This window comes from Homo sapiens, chromosome 17, assembly GCF_000001405.40.
Source record: "Homo sapiens chromosome 17, GRCh38.p14 Primary Assembly".
In the NCBI taxonomy this organism is placed as follows: Eukaryota; Metazoa; Chordata; class Mammalia; order Primates; family Hominidae; genus Homo; species Homo sapiens.
In genome coordinates, this window is record NC_000017.11 from 76712548 (window position 1) to 76733973 (window position 21426).

Genomic DNA, 21426 nt, shown 5'->3' on the forward strand with positions numbered 1-21426 from the left:
ACTATGTTGCCCAGGCTGGAGTGCAGTGGCTATTCACAGGCATGATCATAGCTTTCTGCAGCCTCGACATCCTGGGCTCAAGTGATCCTCCTGCCTTAGCCTCTTGGGCAGCTGGGATTACAGGTGTGCATCAATGCTCCTGGCCCAGGGCCTTAATTTTGTGCTCCATCCCATTGTTTTAAAGTGTAAATACATTTTTTTAAAGTCCTGTTCTGCTGACAAAGTACATTGTTGACTTTCAAATGAGTAAGAAAGAAAATAAGGACAAAACAATGCCAAAAACACAACTCCAAATCATGTTGCTTTATTTAAAATGATGAACAAGTTTCACCCAAGTGAAAGTTTAAAATACCAACCCAATAGCAGATCCACAGGCTTTCATGGCAGACCCCATGGCTAGACGGACGCAGAACTAGGAGACTGCTCAGTGTTCTGACAACTCCAGGAGGCACGAGTGTGCAGAAGACAGTCCCAGTTCTTCTGTAGCATCCAGTCACTTTGGAGACAGCTGGCCAGGGCTAGCTCTCCTCCCAGGAGGTTCACTGGGGCTTAGATGACATTTCTTTTTTTTTAAAGACAGAGTCTCGGTCTGTCACCCAGGCTGGAGTGGCTTGATCTCAGCTCACTGCAACCTCTGCCTCCTGGGTTCAAGTGATTCTCCTGCCTGAGTTGACCAAGTAGCTGGGACTACAGGCATGTGCCACCACACCTGGCTAATTTTTGTATTTTTAGTAGAGACGGGGTTTCACCGTGTTGGCCAGGCTGGTCTTGAACTCCTGACCTCAAGTGATCCACCTGCCATGGCCTCCCAAAGTGCTGGGATTACAGGGGTGAGCTACGGCGCCTGGCCGAAATTTCTGAACAATGAGACAAAGTTGAGAGCCACCGCCTGGGGGTGCAAGCTCACCTAGTTTTGCTGCATAGGATGTCACATCTTGACACAAGCTAGTGGGAGGGGAGTGTGGAAGAAGCCGCCAGACTCCACTTCAAATCTACCAGCAATACCAGTACACACATCAAAAACAACTTACTCGTGGAAATACTACAGACAATCTAAAGAACCTACAGCTGGGGCATCCTTATACGCCTTCCTCCTACACAGCATTTTTTACATTTACTGCAAAAATTTTGTTCCATCCTATACTCGTCTAAAGTCCTAAATCCAAGGCTCAGTCTCTAGTAAGCTTATAAAGCATTTGCACCAGCAACCTTCCCACAGATCCTTAGTTTTGCTACTTTATGAAGAAGCTGTTACTACCTTAAGTATACATTGGTGTTAATTATGCTCTTTCATGTAGATCCGTTACACCTGCATTTAAGAAGGTCTGCACTTTCTTCTACCTGCCCTCACCAGCGGCCCTGTGAACAGCCGCAACAGCCGCACATTCACTGTCCATTAAGCTTGTGGAGCTTGTCAGGGACCTGGGCTTGTCACCGTTATCTCCAGCACCTCAAGAGCAGTGCCTGGCCCTCAAACACCTATTGAACGCTTGAATTATTAAGACACGGACAGCTGCAAGAATACAGCAAAATGTGAATGTCCCTCTTTTCAGTGGCTCTCCCCTCAAGGATGTCACCCTAAACATCCCAGTACCACTAATGGCAGAGGCATGTGTGTGAAGCATGGATTCTTCCAGCTGATGGTGAAGCCTCATCCCCAAAGACCCAGGGTCCTCCTGATGTTCTAGGTCCCCAACTCTTCTCTCTCCCACTCTGGTCCTTCCATCAGAAGTTAATAATCCAAGATCCCTTCTTCCAGGACCCAGCTCTTTGGTTTTAAGATCTGCTGTCATCTTGGAGAATCATCCCTGAAAATAATCTAACATTATCTCCTTCACTTTACTGTTGTTGGCACCATTCAATGGAGTAGCTCACGCCAGATGGGAAGAGGAGTTAACTTCTGAACAAGTGGTCTCTGGGTACCCACTCTTCCTAGTCTACCTTGGCCACCCGCCACCACTCCACTCCTTTTCCACACACGGTTTCCCCACCTTGCCCCTGTTGTGCTTACATAACGGACAGCCTGGCTAGCCCACAGAGACAGTAACGGGGGTTGGGGAATAGGGCTGCTGAATCCCTGGCCTGGCAGGAATAAACAAAGCATGTCCCAGGAGCACAGAATCTGTACTATCCAGACACTGTACTATCCAGAGCTGACTTGGGCCTATCAGATATGTTATTCCCCTCATTTCTGGAATACTGTTATCAAACAGGAATCAACTTTAGCATCTGGAGAAAGAAAACTGGGTGGCTAATCTTTATTTTCTAGATTATTATTTTTTTGAGAGATGGGATCTCACTATGTTGCCCAGACTGGTCTTGAACTCCTGGACTCAAGCAATCCCCCTGCCTCAGCTTCCCAAAGTGCTGGGATTACAGGTGTGAGCCACTGCACCTGGCCTTGGTGGCTAATTTTTAAAATTCAAAATTTCTGCTCCCCTATCCAGACCACTGGCAACGTGTCCTACCACGCCCCCTGGTGGCAAAGAGCCTTTTTGGGCTGTTTTTTATTTTAAACTGAAGTTTAGAGGAGTTGTTGATAGAAAACTGAAAGGAAGGTAAGGAAAAAGGGCAAGCGTGGCAGCACAGGAGCAATGCTGGGAAAAAGAAAAAAGCTTTTTATAGATGGCAAGAAAAGTCTTTTTAAAAAGCAGGAGTAGCAACACCACTCAGATATTACTACCAAGAGATTATACATTCAGAGTTTGACTTTACTCACACCCAAACACATCCTGTGCCCACCACAGAACCAAGGGGGCTGTGGGCGTGGGGGTAAGGAGGGAGAGCAGCCCCCATGGCAGGCAGGCAGCACAGTTCTACCTACCCAGCCACATACTGGGGTTGGCATTTGAGGATGCAGAAAATTGAACTAAGACAAAAATAGAGAACCAGCCTCCTAGAGTAAAGCCACATGACCCAATGTCAGGAAATGACAGTCTGTTAATAACAGTGAGCAGAGACCTGTATTTTCCTGGTTACACCTGTTTCTAGTGGATATTTTGAGAGGCAACAGCACACAATTCTAACACATCCACACACAGCCTCCCTGCCTGTGAACACTGCAGTGAGAGCTCCTTCCCACCTGCCTGCCAATGCCTCCAACGCTCCAGCCCAGGCAGTGCTTCCAAGTGCGCCCCATGGCCTTGACAACCCCTCTTATTGAAGTTTAGTTGAATTTAGGGACAAATTAAGGCAAGCAGGTGAATCAAGAGGGCAAGAGATGGCATCTGCTGGTCAATCCCCAAAAAGTCATCCAGTTAGTTATTTAGAAGTATCAACAGACTGCAAAGACTACAGGTGCCATCTCTGAATTTACTCCCCGTGTGTAACACAAGTCACCCACTTAACGTCTGTAGGTCAAACAAATGGGGAACGCTAATCTCAGAGTACCTCGCAAAGTGAGCACTTCTTATGGATCCCATGGTGCGGAAGAATGGAGCCTATTCATACTTTAAGTTCTGTGGTAAGAGCACATTGCACACCGTTCCCACTCTATGCAAACAAAAAACCCCAATGTATCACCCCCCCACAAAAAAATACACTGTACAAAAACACCCCTGAAATTTCAGTCTCTATGATGATGGAGAAAAAGATAAGGAATCCTAAGACAGACTGAGCAGTGGGTGATGGTGATGGTGCTGGGTCACTGCCACTGAATGCATTTGTGGGCTGATGATGACATACAGGAAGAAGGGCAGACTCCAAGTCCTTCCGACACATAATTGGCTCACAAAGTCCACTCACCACTCTCAGTCTCTGTGGTACACAGCTGGCTCTGTGGAAACTCCTTACCGACATCCGTGAGGTAACAGACACAAGACGTTACAAGGATCACACCCTGCCAGCCTTGTGGTTGACTGGCTCGGTTTTCAATGAGACAGCACAGAACCTTCTTACCCAACATCCCATTAGCTTCAGTGTTTCACTGAGCTGGCCGAGCTGTTAAATTTCTTGATAATCTATCCTTAGGAAGCAGTAAAAACAGCATTTGACCGAAGATAGGAGCTTGGACCAGGGAAGGAATATCCAAATTCAAAGAAGACAGAGGAGAAGGTAGGAGCAGAAGATGCGAGAACTGAGTTGGGTGGCTGCCAAAAGCTTACGCTGAAAGCACCTCAGGGAGAGTCTCTTTATCTGCTCAGGGGTGAGCCCGGCCTCCACAAGTGTCCCTAATCCTGCCAAGGAAAGCACAACTGCCTGTAATCAGCACGTAGACAGCATGCTGGGTACAAAGCTGGAAGGCAATGTTAAAAGCAGGACCCCCGGGACCCCACGTGGAAGTCATGGCAGGGCTTTCTCCAGAGTTTTCTTACAAATTACAAAGTCACAGATCAAGTGCAGATATAAATCTATAAATATGTAATAATAGAAACAATTTAAAAAGGCAGGAAGAGTCTAAGTATGGCTGTGAAAGGACATCGAGGGTTGAGAAATGCACATTCCAGTTTGATAAATTCACTTGAGTAAGTCACTTGAATTTCCCCATGGAATTTCAGCTAAACCACAGAGAATGGAGGCCACGCGATAGGAGGGCTGCGGGTCCTGCACTTCCCCCATGCATTTAAGAAAGACTGAGCTGCTGGGAGAGAAAACGTTAACAGGAATGTCACCTTCAGCAGTCAAGGGCTTCAGACATTCAAAACCCTATGAACGTCAGTATTAAAACATGTATATATATATTTTAAAGACAGGGTATCACTATATTCTCCAAGCTGGTCTTGAACTGCTGAGCTCAAGTGATCCTCCTGCCTTGGCCTCCCAAAGTGCTGGGATTACAGGCTTGAGCTACGATGCCTAGCTTCAACTTCAGTATTTTACTATCTTCCAACAACCTCTCTTAACACTTCAACCAGCACATCAAAGACCTGTGGCATTTAAAGACCCTAGACAAATGCAGAGTGAACAAATTCCATTATGAGCCTGTTACATGCCCAGGTGCTTGCAAACACGTTTAAATTTTAACTTATTTAGGTCCAATCTTGTACTTGGAGACGTGATTAAGTTTTTATAAAAGCTGGGTGAGGTGGCTCATGCTTGTTGTAATAATCCTGCTGCTTTGGGAGGCTGAGGTGGGGGGATCACTTGAGGTGAGGAGTTCAAGACCAGCCTGGGCAACACAGAGAGACTTTGTCACTACTAAAAATAATAAAAAAAATTAGCTGGCCGGGCATGGTGGCTCACATCTGTAATACCAGCACTTTGGGAGGCCAAGGTGGGCGGATCACAAGGTCAGAAGTTTGAGACAAGCCTGGCCAATATGGTGAAACCCTGTCTCTACTAAAAATAAAAAAAAATTAGCTGGGCGTGGTGGCGCATGCCTGTAATCCCAGCTACTCGGGAGGCTGAGGCAGGAAAATTGCTTGAACCTGGGAGGTAGAGGTTACAATAAGCCGAGATCGCATCACTGCACTCCAGCCTGGACAACAGAGCGAGACTCTGTCTCAAAAAAAAATAATAAAAAAAAAATAAGCTGGGCATGGTGGGGTGAATCTGTAGTCCCAGCTACTTGGGAGGCTGAGGCAGGAGGATTGCTTGAGTTTGGAAGGTTGAGGCTGCTGTGAGCCATGATCACGCCACTGCACTCCAGCATGGGCAAGAGCGAGACCCTGTCTCAAAAAAAAAAAAAAAAAAAAAGATTTGACAAATCAGAGTTTTCTGCTGCTGTCTGATTTGGCTGAGCACTCAAGCAGCAACGGCAAACTGGGAGAAAAAGCAAGAGGCCACGCCTCAGGTTCTGCAGAAGATGCCGGGTGACTTTTCCAATGGCTCTCCCTACGCTGCTGGGACGACGACTCTGTGGTCAAGGATGCACAGCAGGAGTCACTGCTTTCCCCCAAGACCACCATGAGGAGAAGAGCAATAAGGGAATGTTCTGGTATTCTCAAAGGAAAACATTTCCAAGATAGAAAATGGATTCAATTTTTATTAAATAATGTAAAGGATTTTCTTGGCACTATTCACATTCTCTTGCCTGAGTAAAACAAGCCGCGTTTATCTGCATTGGTAGCAGAGGGAAAGCTACTGGAGCAAACGCTAAGTGAATGGGTTCCCGTGCCGAGGGTGTCCTCATTCTTGGGCTCTGTCAGGCCTCCCCTTGTCTGCAGGACTGGACAGGCCACCCTCCCCAGGCCCTGCCCTTGCCGCGAGCGTGTCCTTCCATACAGACAACAGCCTTGCTGGGTCACCTGGAGGAGCTGCGCTCTTTGCTGACACAGTCGTCCTGGGAGGTGGTGTCCCCGTTTCCCACCATGCTGCACGTCCTCCTCTTCTTCCTGCGGTGCACTGTCCCATCGCCCTCGGATCCAGACTCGCACTGGACACAGGAGGACAGAAAACAAGGAGTCAACCTGGATGCAACCCACTTCTTCATTAAACAAACCTCTGACCTCGGGAGACAGCACAGATATTGGTCACTTTCTCCCAAATGCAAAGCAGTCATTATGACAGCTCCACAATGTAGCCTTCATAGCCACCTCCTTGGATGTTCCTGGCTCCCTAAGAATTTCAAACTTCCCTCAGAGGCCAAGTATCCCTCCACTGTTCTCTTAACCGTGTGGTTATCTGTCTGAATAGGATACCCATTGTAAAAATCTTTTAGTCAGAATTCTGAAAGTACATTATAAGATTTCACTCTACCAACAGAGCTTGATATATGAAAGAAGTAGGTATAGCACTGAACATTCCCAGAGCCTGTTCCCCGCCTGACGAGAAAAGACTCAATCAGTAGACTGTGTGAAAAGACAGAATTTTTTTTTTTTTGAGACAAAGTCTTACTCTGTCGCCCAGGCTGGAGTGCAGTGGTATGATCTTGGCTCACCGTAGCCTTCGCCTCCTGGGTTCAAGTGATTCTCCCACCTCAGCCTCCTGAGTAGCTGGGATTACAGGTGTGCACCACCACACCCAACTAATTTTTGTGTTTTTAGTAGACATGGGATTTCATCATGTTGGCCAGGCTGGTCTTGAACTCCTGACCTCAAGTAATCTACCCACTTTAGCCTCCCAAAGTGTTGGGTTAACAGGCGTGAGCCACTGCGCCAGGCTGAGATAGAAATTTCATCTGTTAAAGGTGCAGGGCCCTCTCACCCAGTATTACTGTCAGCTTCAAGTTTAAGGTTACTGGATTTGCTGAATTTCCAGGCTTACAATTCACCATCCATGGGGGAAATTCTTCATATGAGCTTTGAGGTCAGAAGGATGAGTTTGAAATCTGACACTGCTGCTTCATCTTGAGCCATTTACTTCACTAAATCCCCAAATACCCCTGATACCTCGAGGCTATTTTAACAATTCTTAGCCGGGCGCTGTGGCTCATGCCTGTAATCCCAGCACTTTGGGAGGCTGAGGCGGGTGGATCACCTGAAGTCAGGAGTTCGAGACCAGCCTGGTCAACACAGTGAAGCCCTACTGAAGTATACAGAGTTTATAGTCTCTACTAAAAATACAAAAAATTAGCTGGGTGTGGTGGCATGCGCCTGTAATCCCAGCTACCAGGGAGGCTGAGGCAGGAGAATCGCTTGAACTTGGGAGGCAGAGGTTACAGTGAGCCGAGATCGCGCCATTGCACTCCAGCCTGGGCAACAAGAGCGAAACTCAGTCTCCAAACAAACAAAAATTCATGCACATGTGCAAAGCTGTAAAATGGGCAAGATACACCACTCAGCAGGAATGGTGACAACTGTGTAACCCTTAGAACAACGTGGAAAAACTTTCATATCCTTCTCCTGGATAGGAGGAGGAAGAGTCACACCTGGTTATGACTGAGTTACATGAGCCTTGGAGGCTCCAGGAGTCAGCCAGAGAGCAAGGCCTCACCTCTGAGTCGGAGTCTGACGAACTGGAGCTGGAGGAGCTGGAAGAGTCGCTGGAGCTGTCGGAAGCTATCCCTGTGGACTCCTGAAGGTCAACCGAGTCTGCGAGGACTGCCAACTCGGGGTGCTCTTGCTTCAAAATCCTGAGAGGCAAGAAGTGTTGTTCTCAGTGCACTGACAGCCATACCCACTCACAAAGACTCACTCAGAGTCGAGGCCTGTGTCTCTCAGAAACACCTGGGAATGCCAGGTGTGTCCGTTCAGAATGGATACTGTACAATGGTGAGGACAAAACCCCAGGCTGGGAACAAGAGAAACCCAATACGGTGCCCATGTTTTTCTGCAAGGAAAATTATACTAACTACACACAATTTACTACCACCTGCATAAATGAGCCAGCCGTGCCACCAATACACGAGGCACAATTTTCCTTAAGTTAGTCTTAGTTTTATTCCCTTAGGACAAAAAGTTTCTCTTCCTAGTTTTACTTCCTGAACCCTTCCCAGTTGATTTTTAAAAAAATCTTTCCTTTCCACAGCACAGCACATAATGATCAGAGTTGCATTGGTTAGATTCTATTTCTAAGAGTAGAAACAATTAGATTTGTAAGAAATACGAGGTGTCAAATAACAGAGATGGTCCCCCCTCACTGGGAGCGTAAAACTGAACTGAAGAGCAGCAGCCCTCCCCTTCAGAAACCTTATCTGGCATCCACTGTATCCAGTGACAAAAGACCTGTTGTATCATAAGGCCTGCGGTGTGACCAAATCACAGCACGCAGTGGCCTACGGGGCGGGGTAAGTGGGCCTCAGATGCCCAAGAGTCCAGGGAGAACAGAAGCCACCACCCTTACTGGCCCTCTCAGCAGGGAGGCTGAGCATGGAACAAGCCAGAATCCCTCTCTTACCCCGAGAGCTGGTCCCTCCAGGTCAGGGTTGGGACACAGTGGCACGGGGTGGCTGTGGGTGGCTTGCACTGCCGCTGCCCGTGCTGTATCTGTTCTGTGGATAAACAGAGGAGCTAAGTCTCCAGGGCAGTCACCTCACTCACAAGAACTGAAGGTATTAAGTTCAAATGGGAATAATGCTTCTAGGTAAGAAAAAGAAACAACCCAAATAAAACCCAAATAAAATGATTTTAGCTAGCGCTAGCTTTGAAAAACAAAACACAAAACAAAACGAGAAACAATCCCAATTATGACGTCTTGACTGAGTGGCTTGGATTCAACATGCAGAGTCTCACCCTGCCACCTCGAGGCTGGCGAACACCCTGAGGACTTGCCCTGACCTTGGCCCCTCTCTCCTCTACCCAGAGGGTCGGCAGCCCCAGCTTTGCCCAGGCCTGTGTACGATCAGCACACATCATCGCAGCAGTGGACTAGCCATTTTATCTCTGGGGTCGAAATTGAAACCAAGCAGAAATAAGAAAAAAATGACTCTCACCTATACCATTTCCTTGATAACTTTGGTCTCCCTCTTACCGTCTTGTGCCATACCACAGGGAAGTTGGTGCTGCTGGCAAAATTTTGGGTGATGGCGATAGTAGTGTCGAGATTGAGGACAACATGCCACCAGCCTCCTGAAATCCAACAAATAAACAGTTAAACAAGGTTTGATCCTATACCTAATTACTGTATAACACACACACCAGAAATTGGGAACTCCTACCCATAAGGGAGAGCCTACAGAGACATGATACAGGGTAGTTCCTTCTGATCCAGGGATTGCAAACAACTTGTTTGTGTAAATCAAGTTTTATCGGAGCACAGCCATGCCCACCTGGTGACGGATTGTCTAGGGCTGCTTTCCAGCTACAAGGCCAGAGTTGAGCAGTTGTGACAGTCTGGCTTACCTAAAATATTGACTCCCCGGCCCTTTATAGAAAAAGTTTGTTTACTCCTGTTAATCCAAAGCTATGACCAAAAGTGCAAAAGCATAAAGTTCTTCAGCCTCTACGAAGAGGACACCTACTTTAAATACACTTACCTTACTTTCCTTCACTTATCAAAGCGCAGTTGTCTGGTGTGGGATTTCCTGACTCAACACGGACAGTGCTATACTGCATCAAAAACCCAATTTAGGCTGCGCTTGGTGGTTCACACCTGCAATCCCAGCACTTTGGGAGGCTGAGGCAGGAGGCTTGTTTGAACCAAGGAGGCCAGCCTGGGTAACAGTGAGACCTCCAATTCAATTTACAGAATTAAACCCTGGCCGGGGGTGGTGGCTCACGCCTGTAATCCTAGCACTTTGGGAGGCTGAGACGGGTGGGTTGCCTGAGCTCAAGAGTTCAAGACCAGCCTGGGCAACATGATGAAACCCCGTCTCTACTAAAATACAAAAAATTAGCTGGGTGTGGCGGCATGTGCCTGTATTCCCAGCTACTTGGGAGGCTGAGACAAGAGAATCGCTTGAACCTGGGAGGAGGAGGTTGTAGTGGGCTGAGATTGTGCCATTGTGCTCCAGCCTGGGTGACAGAGCGAGACTTGGTCTCAAAAAAAAAAAAAAAAAAAAAAAAGAATTAAACCCCAATTTACAGAAACACAAACAAGCCGCTACACATACACAAACAAAGAAAAGTTGTATCTTTACATACAATTTTTTTTTTTTTTTGAAATGGAGTTTTGCTCTGTCACCCAGGCTGGAGTGCAGTGACACAATCTCAGCTCACTGCAGCCTCCTCTTCCGGATTCAAGTGATTCTCCTGCCTCAGCCTCCTGAGTAGCTGGGATTACAGGCGCCCGCCACCACGCCTGATTAATTTTTGTATTATTAGTAGAGACAGGGTTTCACCATGTTGGCCAGGCTGATCTTGAACTCCCGACCTCAAGTGATCCACCCACTTCGGCCTCCCAAAGTGCTGATATTACAGGTGTGAGCCACCGCACCGGGCCTGCATACAGTTTATCAGGTTTTATAGCCATATAAAATGTGAACAAGAGCTCCCAAAGTATGTGACACTATAGCTACATGTTACTGTCAGAGGTGAGTACCAGTTCATTTACCAGGCAGCATCCAAAGGATTTTTTGGACTCACTCTCTAACAGTTCTGCTCCAAAATGACAAAATATTGAAATCAAAGAATGTACTTTCTTTTTTTTTTTTTTGAGATGGAGTCTTACTCTGTCACCCTGGCTGGAGTGCAGTGGCACGATCTAGACTCACTGCAACCTTCGCCACCTGGGTTCACGTGATTCTCCTGCCTCAGCCTCCCGAGTGGCTGGGACTATAGGCGCCCACCACCACGCCCGGCTAATTTTTTTGTATTTTTAGTAGAGACGGGGTTTCACCGTGTTAGCAAGGATGGTCTCGATCTCCTGACCTCGTGATCTGCCCGCCTCAGCCTCCCAAAGTGCTGGGATTACAGGCATGAACCACCGCGCCCGGCAAAGAATGTACTTTCTTCCAGTTCATCTATACCTGGTACAAAGACAGTCTCTCCTGGTTTTTGTAAGATTTCCAGGGGTTTGAATTCAGGTGGCCAGGTTGGAAGCTGTGTCCGGGGATAAATAACATTAAACCAGGTAATAGCTTCGTCTTGCTGGTTCCCTCCTTCGTCTCGGGTCACTTTGATGAGTTCCCTGGGAGTGCTGGTAGGAAACAGGCACCAGCGCTTGTGGCCCTGAACTAAGGCATTCCAGGCACTGGTTCCCAGAGGGTCGATGTGAATCCCAGTTCCGGAGCGTGGTGGCCCCATCACAAACCACCTACAGAATGGAGATATCCAAGATGTGAAGTGTAATTTACTTACACACATACCACACAAAACAATAAGTTTTTAGTTTTTCTTTGAGAGTCTTGCTCTATCACCCAGGCTGGAATGCAGTGGCGTGATCTTGGCTGACAGTAACCTCTGCTTCCCCAGGTTCATGTGATTCTCCTGCCTTAGCCTCCTGAGTAGCTGGGATTACCGACGCACACCACCACGCCTGGCTAATTTTTGTATTTTTAGTAGAGACAGGGTTTCACCATGTTGCCTAGGCTGGTCTCGAACTCCTGGCCTCAAGTGATCACCTGCCTCGGCCTCCCAAAGTGCTGGAATAACAGGCTTGAGCCACCGCACCTGGCCAGGTTTTAATTTTATGTGATATGTCATCTTTATTTCAGAGATTATATAAATTCTGGTACACAGAAACACTGGGTGCATTGTTCATGGACTGATTCCTAACAAAATAAGAAAAATCAGCTGGGGCGGTAGCTCACGCCTGTAATCCCAGCACTTTGGGAGGCAGAGGTGGGTGCATCACCTGAGGTCAGGAGTTCAAGACCAGCCTGACCAATACGGTGAAACCCCATCTCTACTGAAAATACAAAAATTAGCCGGGTGTGGTGGTGGGCACCTGTAATCCCAGCTACTCAGGAGGCTGAGACAGGAGGATTGCTTGAACCCGGGAGGCGGAGGCTGCAGTGAGCTGAGATTGCGCCACTGCACTCCAGCTTGGACGACAGAGGGAGACTCCATCTCAATGAAGAAAAAAAAAAGAAAAAAAAAGAAAAATCACTAATGTGGTTTATTGCTGGACTTTATTAAAACCTCCCTTAGAGATCAGTGCTTCAACCATAGCTGCACATTCAAGTCACCTGAAGAGCTTTCAGAAATTCTGATGCGCAGGCATCACCCGAATTAAATCAGTCTCCCCAGTAGGGCCCAGGCAGGCCTCAGGAGCCCCCTAAATGAGTTCAATGTACAGCCGAGGGAGTACTCACTGTTTCCAAAAAAGATTAGCAACTGAACTCAGCGAGCAAATGCTGTTGTAGATAAGATTTTAACCACAGGCCGGGCGCGGTGGCTCACACCTGCAATCGCAGCACTTTGGGAGGCCGAGGCGGGCAGATCACCTGAAGTCGGGAGTTCGAGACCAGCCTGACCAACATGGTGAAACCCCGTCTCTACTAAAAATACAAAATTAGCTGGGTGTGGTGGCGCATGCCTGTAATCCCAGTTACAGGAGGCTGAGGCAGGAGAAGCGCTTGAACTCGGGAGATGGAGGTTGCTGTGAGCCGAGATCGCACCACGGCACTGCAGCCTGGGCTACAAGAGTGACGCTCTGTCTCAAAAAAAAAAAAAAAAAAAAAAGAAAAGGATTTTAACCACTTAGCTGCAGAATACTTTACCTGTAAGGGGGCCTGCGCTTCTCCCCAGCATACTGGAAAAGGTCATCAGTGAAAAACTTTGGCACCTTGTAGTCTTCCAAAAGTTTCCTTCTTTTAGGGTGTTCACCATAGCTGCTGTCAAAGATGTAAAGGGGACTATCATCTCGAGTGCTCTCCATGTACTCGATGTAGTATTTCATCTTCATCTTCACTGAGTAGCCATCGTTATCCTCACCACACTTGAACTTCTGGTTCCGATATTTCCTTTTTAGGCGCTCCAGAGTCCATTTCTCCTGCGCAGACCAGCCCTCTTGCGCATTCAACAAAACCACGGGCTTGTAAGGTCTTTCATACCGCTCCACAAATTCTTCCACAGACAGCTGTAAAGCATCTGCCCTTTCCACGTTATCCTGAGGGAATTAAAAAAGACCTGTCCAGTTAAAAAAAAAAAAAAAGTCCAGTGGCAGATAAGGGTGTCCCCAAGGCCAACTGGTAATGACAAACCGAAGGAAGTTGACTCTCGTCTGGCTCCTCCGGGGTGGGGGCAGGGCGCGTGCGTGAGGCCACGTCGTTCCTAGAGCCACCCCCCATGAGCCTTGACAGCCAGGTCCCCTAGGGGACCCGCCGCCCAAAGGAGTCAGGGACGACGGGCCTTCTAGTTGAGAGCGCCACAGGCGTGGGACTCCCGTCGTCCGCCAGAGCAGACGGGCGGCCACAGCACGGGAGGAAGCAGACCCGCCCCGGAATCCGCGCCTCGGGGACCCCAAACTCCGCGGGGTGCGGGTGAGCCTCTACGAGGTCCCGGGCGCTCGGGGCGAGGGCAGCCTCGGGCCCAGAGAAAGGTGCGTAGCGGCTGGAGGTGCCGATGCCCGGCCTGGCCACCCCCGCCCGACCCGCTCACCGCCACGGCCGCCGGGCTCAGCGAGAAGCTCTCGTAGTAGTTGTGCCGGGTCCAATCCAGCGAGTCCTTGAGCTCCGGCCGCGCACTCCGCTTGGCCTCGCGGATGCGCTTCTTGCTCTTGTGGTTCATTCTGCGGGGTCGCCAGCTGGTTCCGCTACGACCTCGGCGCAGCCCGCTTCCTGACACTAACGCACCCCTCCCCGGCCTGGGCGGCGGCGACGGCAGTACCCAAACGCCCTTCGCTCAGTCCCGGCGCCTTTAAAGTCGCCTTCCAGAAAATTCACTCCCCAGCCACCTCCCGAGCCTCGGGTTGGGCAAGCGGCCGCCGTCTTCCCCGCCCCGACGCCTCTCGCGGTTTTCCATTGGCTTTGGCTCCCCTGGGGTACTCCTTCACATACGGCGGGCCTCCGCCATGTTGGGAAGGTCACGTCGGCTGCGTCACCGCCCCGCCCCGCCCCGCCCCTCCCCTCCCGCGCTGCCGCTGTGCCCATCACTTCCGGTCGCGCCAGCCGCCCGTTGCCAGTTCTGCGCGTGTGAGTCTCTTTCGCCTTGCTCCGGGCTTTCTTCGCTCGCAGCGCGGCAGGGTTATCACCAGATCTGGGCTTTCCCCTTCTTGCCGTCAGGTGCTACGGCCACGTGGCCCGCGGCTTCCCGCTCGCGCAGTCTGGCAGCCCGGAGCCTTCCGCGGTCCCCCGCCCGCCCGGGGCCCAACGACGCCCTACTGGGCGAGCACGATTTCCGAGGACAGGGGGTCCGGGCCCAGCGCTTTCGATTCTCGGAGGAGCCGGGTCCGGGGGCCGACGGGGCTGTCCTGGAGGTCCACGTCCCGCAGGTGCGTGCAGCAGCACCCGCCAGGAGGCGCCTGAGGTCAGGAGCGGATGTCGGCTGACTTGGCTGGGTTCCTGAGGGACCGGGGGTGCGGACGCTCAGCTGCGCAGCTTCCTGCTTTAGGTTGACCCCCGGAGCAAAAACGTCGGATATGAAGCCCTTCGGTGCATTAAATGTCTCTCAGTAAGAATTTTGGAGACCCTGCCAAGAAGTGACCCTGGTCACTATGTTGGTCAGGCTGGTCTCGAACTGTAAGCTTAAGTGATCCTCCTGCCTCGGCCTCCCAAAGTGCTAGGATTACAGGCATGAGCCACTGCGCCGGGCCGGCTTTCTCCACATCGAATCTTTCCTGCCAGGAAAGTGACATTCTTGACTGACCTCTAATGCTTCTTTTGATCTTGTCCAAGGGTTTCTTGATTCATCCTTATCTCTCACTTTTGTGTGAGTTTTGGGATCAGGGTTTCCAGTTTTATTTGGTGCCCAAAGTGTTTCTTGGGTTGGACCTCGCTTCTTCCTCTAAGCTCACAGCTACAACAAAACTCTCAATAATAATTCTTTTTCTTTTCTTTTTTTTGAGACACTGTCTCGCTCTGGCGCCCAGGCTGGAGCGCAGTGGCGCGATCACAGCTCACTGCAACCTCCAACTCCCGGATTCAAGTGATCCTCCCGCCTGCCTAAGTGCTGGGATTGCAGGAGTGAGCCACCATGCCCTGCCTGTCTTCGGTTTTTCAAAGCACTTTCACTTTGCAGTATTTCATTTGGTTTTAACACCAGCCTGTGAGGCATGTCCCATGCTAAAGAAACAGCTTTAGAGAAGTTAAATGGGAGGCGGAGGCGGGAGGATCGCTTGGGACCAGGAGTTCCAGACCAGCCTGGGCAATATAGTGATACTACGTCTCTACAAAAAGTAGAAAAATTAGGCATCGTGGCTTGTGCCTGTAGCCCCAGCTACTCCGGAGGGTGAGGTGGGAGGATTGCTTGAGCCCGAGAGGTCGAGGCTGCTGTGAGCTATGATCAGGCCACTGCACTCAGGCATGAGCAACAGAGCAAGACATTGTCAAGAAGAAAAAAAAAAAAAAAGACTGGAGTGGAGGCTATTTCTGATTGTTTCCAAACAGCTTCACTTTTTTTTGCTAACTGCAACCTCAACCTCTGGGCTCAAGTGATCCTCCCACCTCAGCCTTTCAAGTAACTGAGACTACAGGCATTGGCCACCACACCCAATCTGGCTTCACGGATTTTTTTTTTTTTTTTTGGAGATGGAGTCTCGCTCTGTCACCCAGACGAGTGCAGTGGCACAATCTCAGCTCACTGCAACCTCCGCCTCGTGGGTTCAAGTGATTCTCCTGCCTCAGCCTCCCAAGTAGCTGGGATTATAGGCGCCCACCACCATGCCTGGCTAATTTTTGTATTTTTAGTAGAGACGGGGTTTTGCCATGTTGGCCAAGCTGATCTTGAACTCCTGACCTCAGGTGATGCACCTGCCTCGGCCTACCAAAGTGCTGGGATTACAGGTGTAAGCCACCGCTCCCGGCTGGCTTCACGTTTAAATACACTTGCATTTCTTCCTAAATGTAGGGGGTGATGATATTGCCTGTGAGAATAGAAGCCTCTTTCCTTTTTTTTTTTTTTTTTTGGAGTTGGAGTCTTGCTCTGTCGCCCAGGCTGGAGTGCAGTCGCGAGATCTCTGCTCACTGCAAGCTCTGCCTCCCGGGTTCACGCCATTTTCCTGTCTCAGCCTCCGGAGTAGCTGGGACTACAGGTGCCCACCACCATGTCCGGCTAATTTTTTTGTATTTTTAGTGGAGTAGAGACGGGGTTTCACCGCGTTAGCCAGGATGGTCTCGATCTCCTGACCTGATGATCCACCCACCTCGGCCTCCCAAAGTGCTGGGATTACAGGCGTGACCCACCACGCCCGGCCATTTTTTTTTGAAACGTAGTCTCACTATGTTGCCCAGGCTGGAGTGCAGTGGCGCAGTCTCGGCTCACTGCAACCTCCGCCTCCCGTGTTCAAGCGATTTTCCCGCCTCAGCTGGGATTACAGGCACGTGCCACCATGCCCGGCTAATTTTTTGTATTTTTAGTAGAGACAGGGGTTTCACCATGTTAGCCAGGCTGGTCTCAAACTCCTGACCTCAGGTGATCCGCCCGCCTCATCCTCCCAAAGTGCTGGGATGACAGGCCTGAGTCACCGTGCCCGGCCCCTGACTAGAAATATCTTATTTGCTTGCTCGTTGCCTCTCTACAGTAGGATATGTGCTCAGGGAGAGCTATATCCCCAGTCTGAGAATGATCCCTGATACTGTGACACTAGAAGCACTTGTTGAATAAACAGTGCTATCAAGAGTTTCTATCACATTGCATTGCAGTTTTATATCCCCAAAGGTCGTGGATTGGTGAACAGGGCTGCCATTTTTGTAATGGATGCCAATGCCTGACAGAAATTGCTGTATGAATGATTCCAACTTCCAGCAGCTAAATTATTTATGGCACACAAAAACATTCTTTTCAGGTCCTGCATCTCCAGTATGGAATGTATGTTTGGCCCTGTGCTGTGGTCCTGGCCCAGTACCTTTGGTTTCACAGAAGATCTCTGCCAGGCAAGGCCATCTTAGAGGTACAAATGCCCCTGAAGTTTCCAGAGTTCTAGGTTATGTTCAGATGTGTTAAGTTGACATGTGTATATTGCTTGTTTTTAGCTTTTGTTAAATATTTTTAAATCGGGTAATTTAGCTAGTTTGTAAGGTCTGTGAGCTAAGAATGTTGTTTTGTTTTTGTCTTAAGGTACAGAGATTATCCTGGAACTTTTTTTCATTTAAAAAGTGGTTTTTCGGCTGGGCATGGTGGCTCACGCCTGTAATCCCAGCATTTTGGGAGGCTGAGGCGGGTGCATCATTTGAGGTCAGGAGTTCGAGACCAGCCTGGCCAATGTGGTGAAACCCCATCTCTACTAAAAATACAAAAAGTAGCCGGGCCTGGTGGTGCACGCCTGTAATCCCAGCTACTCGGGAGGCTGAAACAGAATTGCTTGAACCCTGGAGGCGGAGGTTACAGTGAGCAAAGATCGCACCATTGCCCTCCAGCCTGGGCAACAGAGCGAGACTCCATCTCAAAAAAAAAAAAAAGTGGTTTTTTAAAGAAGATACTGGGTGTGATGGCTCACACCTGTAATCCCAGTACTTTGGAAGGTCGAGGTGGGAAGATGACTTGAGCCCAGGAGTTTGATACCAGCCTGGTCAACATAGTGAGACGCTGTCTCTAAGAAAAAAGAAAAGTGTGACAGAGATGATAGGTGGACCACAAAGCCTAAAATATTGACTCTCTAGCCCTTTAGTTTGCTGACCGCTATTCTAGATGAAGCCCCTGAACTGCCTTCCACGGCCGTGGCAGTCTTTAAGGCCATTGTTTTAGGTGTCCCAGCAGTGTCATGCAGCCTTTTTATATTCAGGTTGCTGTAACAAAATACCATAAACTGGGTGGCTTACAAATAACAGAAATTTATGTCTCTTGCCGGGCGCTGTGGCCCATGCCTGTAATCCCAGCACTTTGGGAGGCCAAGGCGGGCGGATTGCCTGAGGTCAGGAGTTCAAGACCAGCCTGGCCAACATGGTGAAACCCCGTCTCTACTATAAATAGAAAAAATTGGCTGGGCGTGGTGGCTCATGCCTGTAATCCCAGCACTTTGGGAGGCTGAGGCGGGCGGATCACGAGGTCAGGAGATCGAGACCATCCTGGCTAACACGGTGAAACCCCGTCTCTACTAAAAATACAAAAAAAATTAGCCGGGCCTGGTGGCGGGCGCCTGTAGTCCCAGCTACTCGGGAGGCTGAGGCAGGAGAATGGTGGGTGAACCCGGGAGGCGGAGCTTGCAGTGAGCCGAGATCGCACCACTGCACTCCAGCCTGGGCGACAGAGCGAGACTCCATCTCAAAAAAAAAAAAGATAAAATTAGCCAGGCCTGGTGGCACATGCCTGTAGTCCCAGCTACTCAGGAGGCTGAGGTAGGAGAATCGCCTGAACCCAGGAGGTGGAGGCTGCAGTCAGCTGAGATTGTGCCACTGCACTCCAGCCTGGGCAACAGAGCGAGACTGCATCTCAAAAGAATAAAGAAATTTGGGTATCAGTTCTGGAGGCAGTGAAGTCCCAGGATGAAAGTCCTTACAGGTTCAGTGTCTGGTGAGGGCCAGAATTCTGGTTCAGACAGTGTCCTCTGTGTTCTTAAGTGTCTTGTACCTTAAGAAGCAAAGCAACTCTCCAGGGCATTTTATAAGGGCACTAATCATGAGAACTCTGCCTTTATGTAATTGCCTCCCAAGGCCCACATCAGATGGGTAATTAGGATTTGAACATATGAATTTTGGGTGAACACATTCAGACCGTAGTGTAGCCCTTTCTGTTTTTGGAAATGTTGAGATTAGTGTAAAAATGTATCCCATTCTCTTTCTAACCTCACTACCTGGCCTCAGACTGGTGAAGGCTTGGAAAAACCAATTTTATCACATTTGCAGAAATAGACTTTCACACCATACTTAAGACCAAAGGCTAAATAGACAAACCAGAAGCTTAATATTAACATCCCACTCTTAACTTTTACTACACCAAGTAAATGAAATTAGGGGTAGGATTTGGCACACACCTCTGGTCCTAGTTGTAATTGCTGGGCACTCACAATAATTCTATCTCTGTGTCCTTCCTTGAACTGGAAAATGGGAAGCTTGTGTTTATGCTAATACTTATGAAGGCATTCCCTGGTATTATTTCTTAGTGTCTGCAAAGCATCTTGCCGCTTTGAAGGCCCAACTGGAAAATCTTTACTAGAAAGCCATGTTGCAGACCTGTTAGGTTTTAGCTACAGAAAAGCAATCAACTATAGAACATGCTAACAGAAGTGAAAATTAGGCTGAGTGCTGTGGCTCATGCCTGTAATCCCAGCACTTTGGGAGACTGAGGCTGGTGGATCACTTGAGGTCAGGAGTTCAAGACCAGCCTGGCCAACATGGTGAAACCCAGTCCCTACTAAAAAATACAAAATACTAGCCGAGTGGCTGGGCACGGTGGCTCATGCCTGTAATCCTAGCACTTTGGGAGGCCGAGACAGGTGGATCACCTGTCGGGAGTTCAAGACCAGCCTGACCAACAGGGAGAAACCCTGTCTCTACTAAAGAAATACAAAATTAGCTGGGCTTGGTGGTGCACGCCTGTAATCCCAGCTACTTGGGAGGCTGAGGCAGAATTGCTTGAACCCGGGAGGCGGGGGTTGCAGTGAGCCAAGATTGCACCATTGTACTCCAGCCTGAGCAACAAGAGCCAAACGCTCTCAAAAAAAAAAAATTAGCTGGGCTTGGTGGCCAGTTACTCAGGAGGCTGAGGCAGGAGAATCACTGGAACCCGGGAAGCAGAGGTTGCAGTGAGCCGATATTGCACCACTGCACTCCAGCCTGGAGAACAGAGCAAGACTCCGTCTCAAAAAAATAAAACAAAACTGAAAATCATGGCAGAGGAATCAAGTGCCCCAAAACTACTTCTGTGTGCATAGCAATTAACTGCCAGTTACGATACATGGCCCTTTAATATTGAAATTGAAGGTTAAGCTTTTACCTTTTAGCAGAGTAGATTCATAAGGAATGTACTTTTGTCATGTTTATAGTAATGTTCAGTTACGGTACATTTTATACAAACCCAGAAAGACTGACTCTATGCTTATTTAAAAATGCAAGAATATAATGAAAAAGTACTAAGATTCCCAATTATTTGCAGTTCCAAGTATAATTGTGAAATGCCATCTTTCATAACTTATTAGATTGGAGCTGGAGTGAGCCTTCCAGGAATTTTGGCTGCCAAATGTGGTGCAGAAGTAATACTGTCAGACAGCTCAGAACTGCCTCACTGTCTGGAAGTCTGTCGGCAAAGCTGCCAAATGAATAACCTGCCACATCTGCAGGTGGTAGGACTAACATGGGGTCATATATCTTGGGATCTTCTGGCTCTACCACCACAAGATATTATCCTTGCATCTGATGTGTTCTTTGAACCAGAAGGTAAGCTTTTTTGGCTCAATAGTACATTTGGCCAGTGATGCTATATGAAAATCTATTCATAAATCCTTTCTCCTCAGATTTTGAAGACATTTTGGCTACAATATATTTTTTGATGCACAAGAATCCCAAGGTCCAATTGTGGTCTACTTATCAAGTTAGGAGGCAAGTATGGATGACCCTTACTTTTTATATGTAACTTAAGCCTTACTCTACCCTACCCATGCGATACATAATTTAAGAATAGAATACATCTGAAGCAAAACAGAAAAGGCATGACTTTAAAAGAACAACTTTTTTTTTTTAAGTGCTGACTGGTCACTTGAAGCTTTACTCTACAAATGGGATATGAAATGTGTCCACATTCCTCTTGAGTCTTTTGATGCAGACAAAGAAGATATAGCAGAATCTACCCTTCCAGGAAGACATACAGTTGAAATGCTGGTCATTTCCTTTGCAAAGGACAGTCTCTGAATTATACCTACAACCTGTTCTGGGACAGTATCAATACTGATGAGCAACCTGGCACACAAACTATGAGCAGACCACTTCAGCTTGAGAATGCAGTGGGTCTGAAGATGGTCAAGTCTGTTTGCCTTAGATTTTGATGTCACCTAGACAACACTTAAACTCATATGAAACAAAAATTAAAATACGTATTACAAGTACTTGGATTGTTCCTTAGTCATTAAATAGGATATAAATTAGGTTGAGAAGGGGGTATCACAACCTCAAGAAAAGTGCCACTTAAAGCATTGCTT

General features: G+C 48.5%; 2 protein-coding genes across 25 annotated transcripts, besides 6 other annotated features; one reads left to right on the forward strand and one right to left on the reverse strand.

The window, feature by feature from the left end:
* Positions 1-288: 288 nt before the first annotated feature.
* Positions 289-14059, reverse strand: JMJD6 (jumonji domain containing 6, arginine demethylase and lysine hydroxylase). 4 transcript variants are annotated; one of them, NM_001081461.2, is made up of 7 exons: positions 13800-14059; positions 12920-13308; positions 11225-11511; positions 9251-9386; positions 7813-7951; positions 6186-6313; positions 289-4175 (listed from the first exon to the last, which is right to left on the reverse strand). In NM_001081461.2, the coding sequence occupies exons 1-7, from the start codon at positions 13926-13928 to the stop codon at positions 4139-4141; spliced, it is 1245 nt and encodes a 414-aa protein (NP_001074930.1). In that variant the 5' UTR covers positions 13929-14059; the 3' UTR covers positions 289-4138. The 4 variants fall into 4 exon arrangements, with proteins under 4 accessions (NP_001074930.1, NP_055982.2, XP_047291644.1 ...); NM_015167.3 differs by lacking the exon at positions 289-4175 and having other exon boundaries at positions 5904-6313; XM_047435688.1 differs by lacking the exons at positions 289-4175; positions 6186-6313 and adding an exon at positions 8716-8809 and having other exon boundaries at positions 7819-7951.
* On the forward strand, positions 13494-21334 carry METTL23 (methyltransferase 23, arginine). Of its 21 annotated transcripts, none has more exons than XM_047435308.1 (6): positions 14292-14332; positions 14423-14666; positions 17143-17230; positions 20431-20668; positions 20746-20830; positions 20974-21334. In XM_047435308.1, the coding sequence occupies exons 3-6, from the start codon at positions 17159-17161 to the stop codon at positions 21137-21139; spliced, it is 561 nt and encodes a 186-aa protein (XP_047291264.1). In that variant the 5' UTR covers positions 14292-14332; positions 14423-14666; positions 17143-17158; the 3' UTR covers positions 21140-21334. The 21 variants fall into 21 exon arrangements, 20 of the variants coding, with proteins under 20 accessions (NP_001365278.1, NP_001365280.1, XP_047291266.1 ...); XM_047435307.1 differs by having other exon boundaries at positions 14423-14631; positions 17143-17247; NM_001302703.2 differs by having other exon boundaries at positions 17143-17247; positions 20974-21333.
* Positions 13932-14561: an enhancer, noted in NCBI's record as "NANOG-H3K27ac-H3K4me1 hESC enhancer chr17:74722561-74723190 (GRCh37/hg19 assembly coordinates)". NCBI's record gives its function as "activates a minimal SCP1, AML or CMV promoter by ChIP-STARR-seq in primed H9 embryonic stem cells {active_cell/tissue: H9 hESC(primed)}" and the evidence as "EXISTENCE:reporter gene assay evidence [ECO:0000049][PMID:30033119]".
* Positions 13932-14672: a biological region, named in NCBI's record as "NANOG-H3K27ac-H3K4me1 hESC enhancer GRCh37_chr17:74722561-74723190".
* Positions 13983-14112: a silencer, noted in NCBI's record as "silent region_9025". NCBI's record gives its function as "represses an Ori minimal core promoter by ATAC-STARR-seq in GM12878 lymphoblastoid cells {active_cell/tissue: GM12878}" and the evidence as "EXISTENCE:reporter gene assay evidence [ECO:0000049][PMID:35858748]".
* Positions 14223-14672: a silencer, noted in NCBI's record as "silent region_9026". NCBI's record gives its function as "represses an Ori minimal core promoter by ATAC-STARR-seq in GM12878 lymphoblastoid cells {active_cell/tissue: GM12878}" and the evidence as "EXISTENCE:reporter gene assay evidence [ECO:0000049][PMID:35858748]".
* Positions 15192-15820: an enhancer, noted in NCBI's record as "H3K4me1 hESC enhancer chr17:74723821-74724449 (GRCh37/hg19 assembly coordinates)". NCBI's record gives its function as "activates a minimal SCP1, AML or CMV promoter by ChIP-STARR-seq in primed H9 embryonic stem cells {active_cell/tissue: H9 hESC(primed)}" and the evidence as "EXISTENCE:reporter gene assay evidence [ECO:0000049][PMID:30033119]".
* Positions 16478-17108: an enhancer, noted in NCBI's record as "H3K4me1 hESC enhancer chr17:74725107-74725737 (GRCh37/hg19 assembly coordinates)". NCBI's record gives its function as "activates a minimal SCP1, AML or CMV promoter by ChIP-STARR-seq in naive H9 embryonic stem cells {active_cell/tissue: H9 hESC(naive)}" and the evidence as "EXISTENCE:reporter gene assay evidence [ECO:0000049][PMID:30033119]".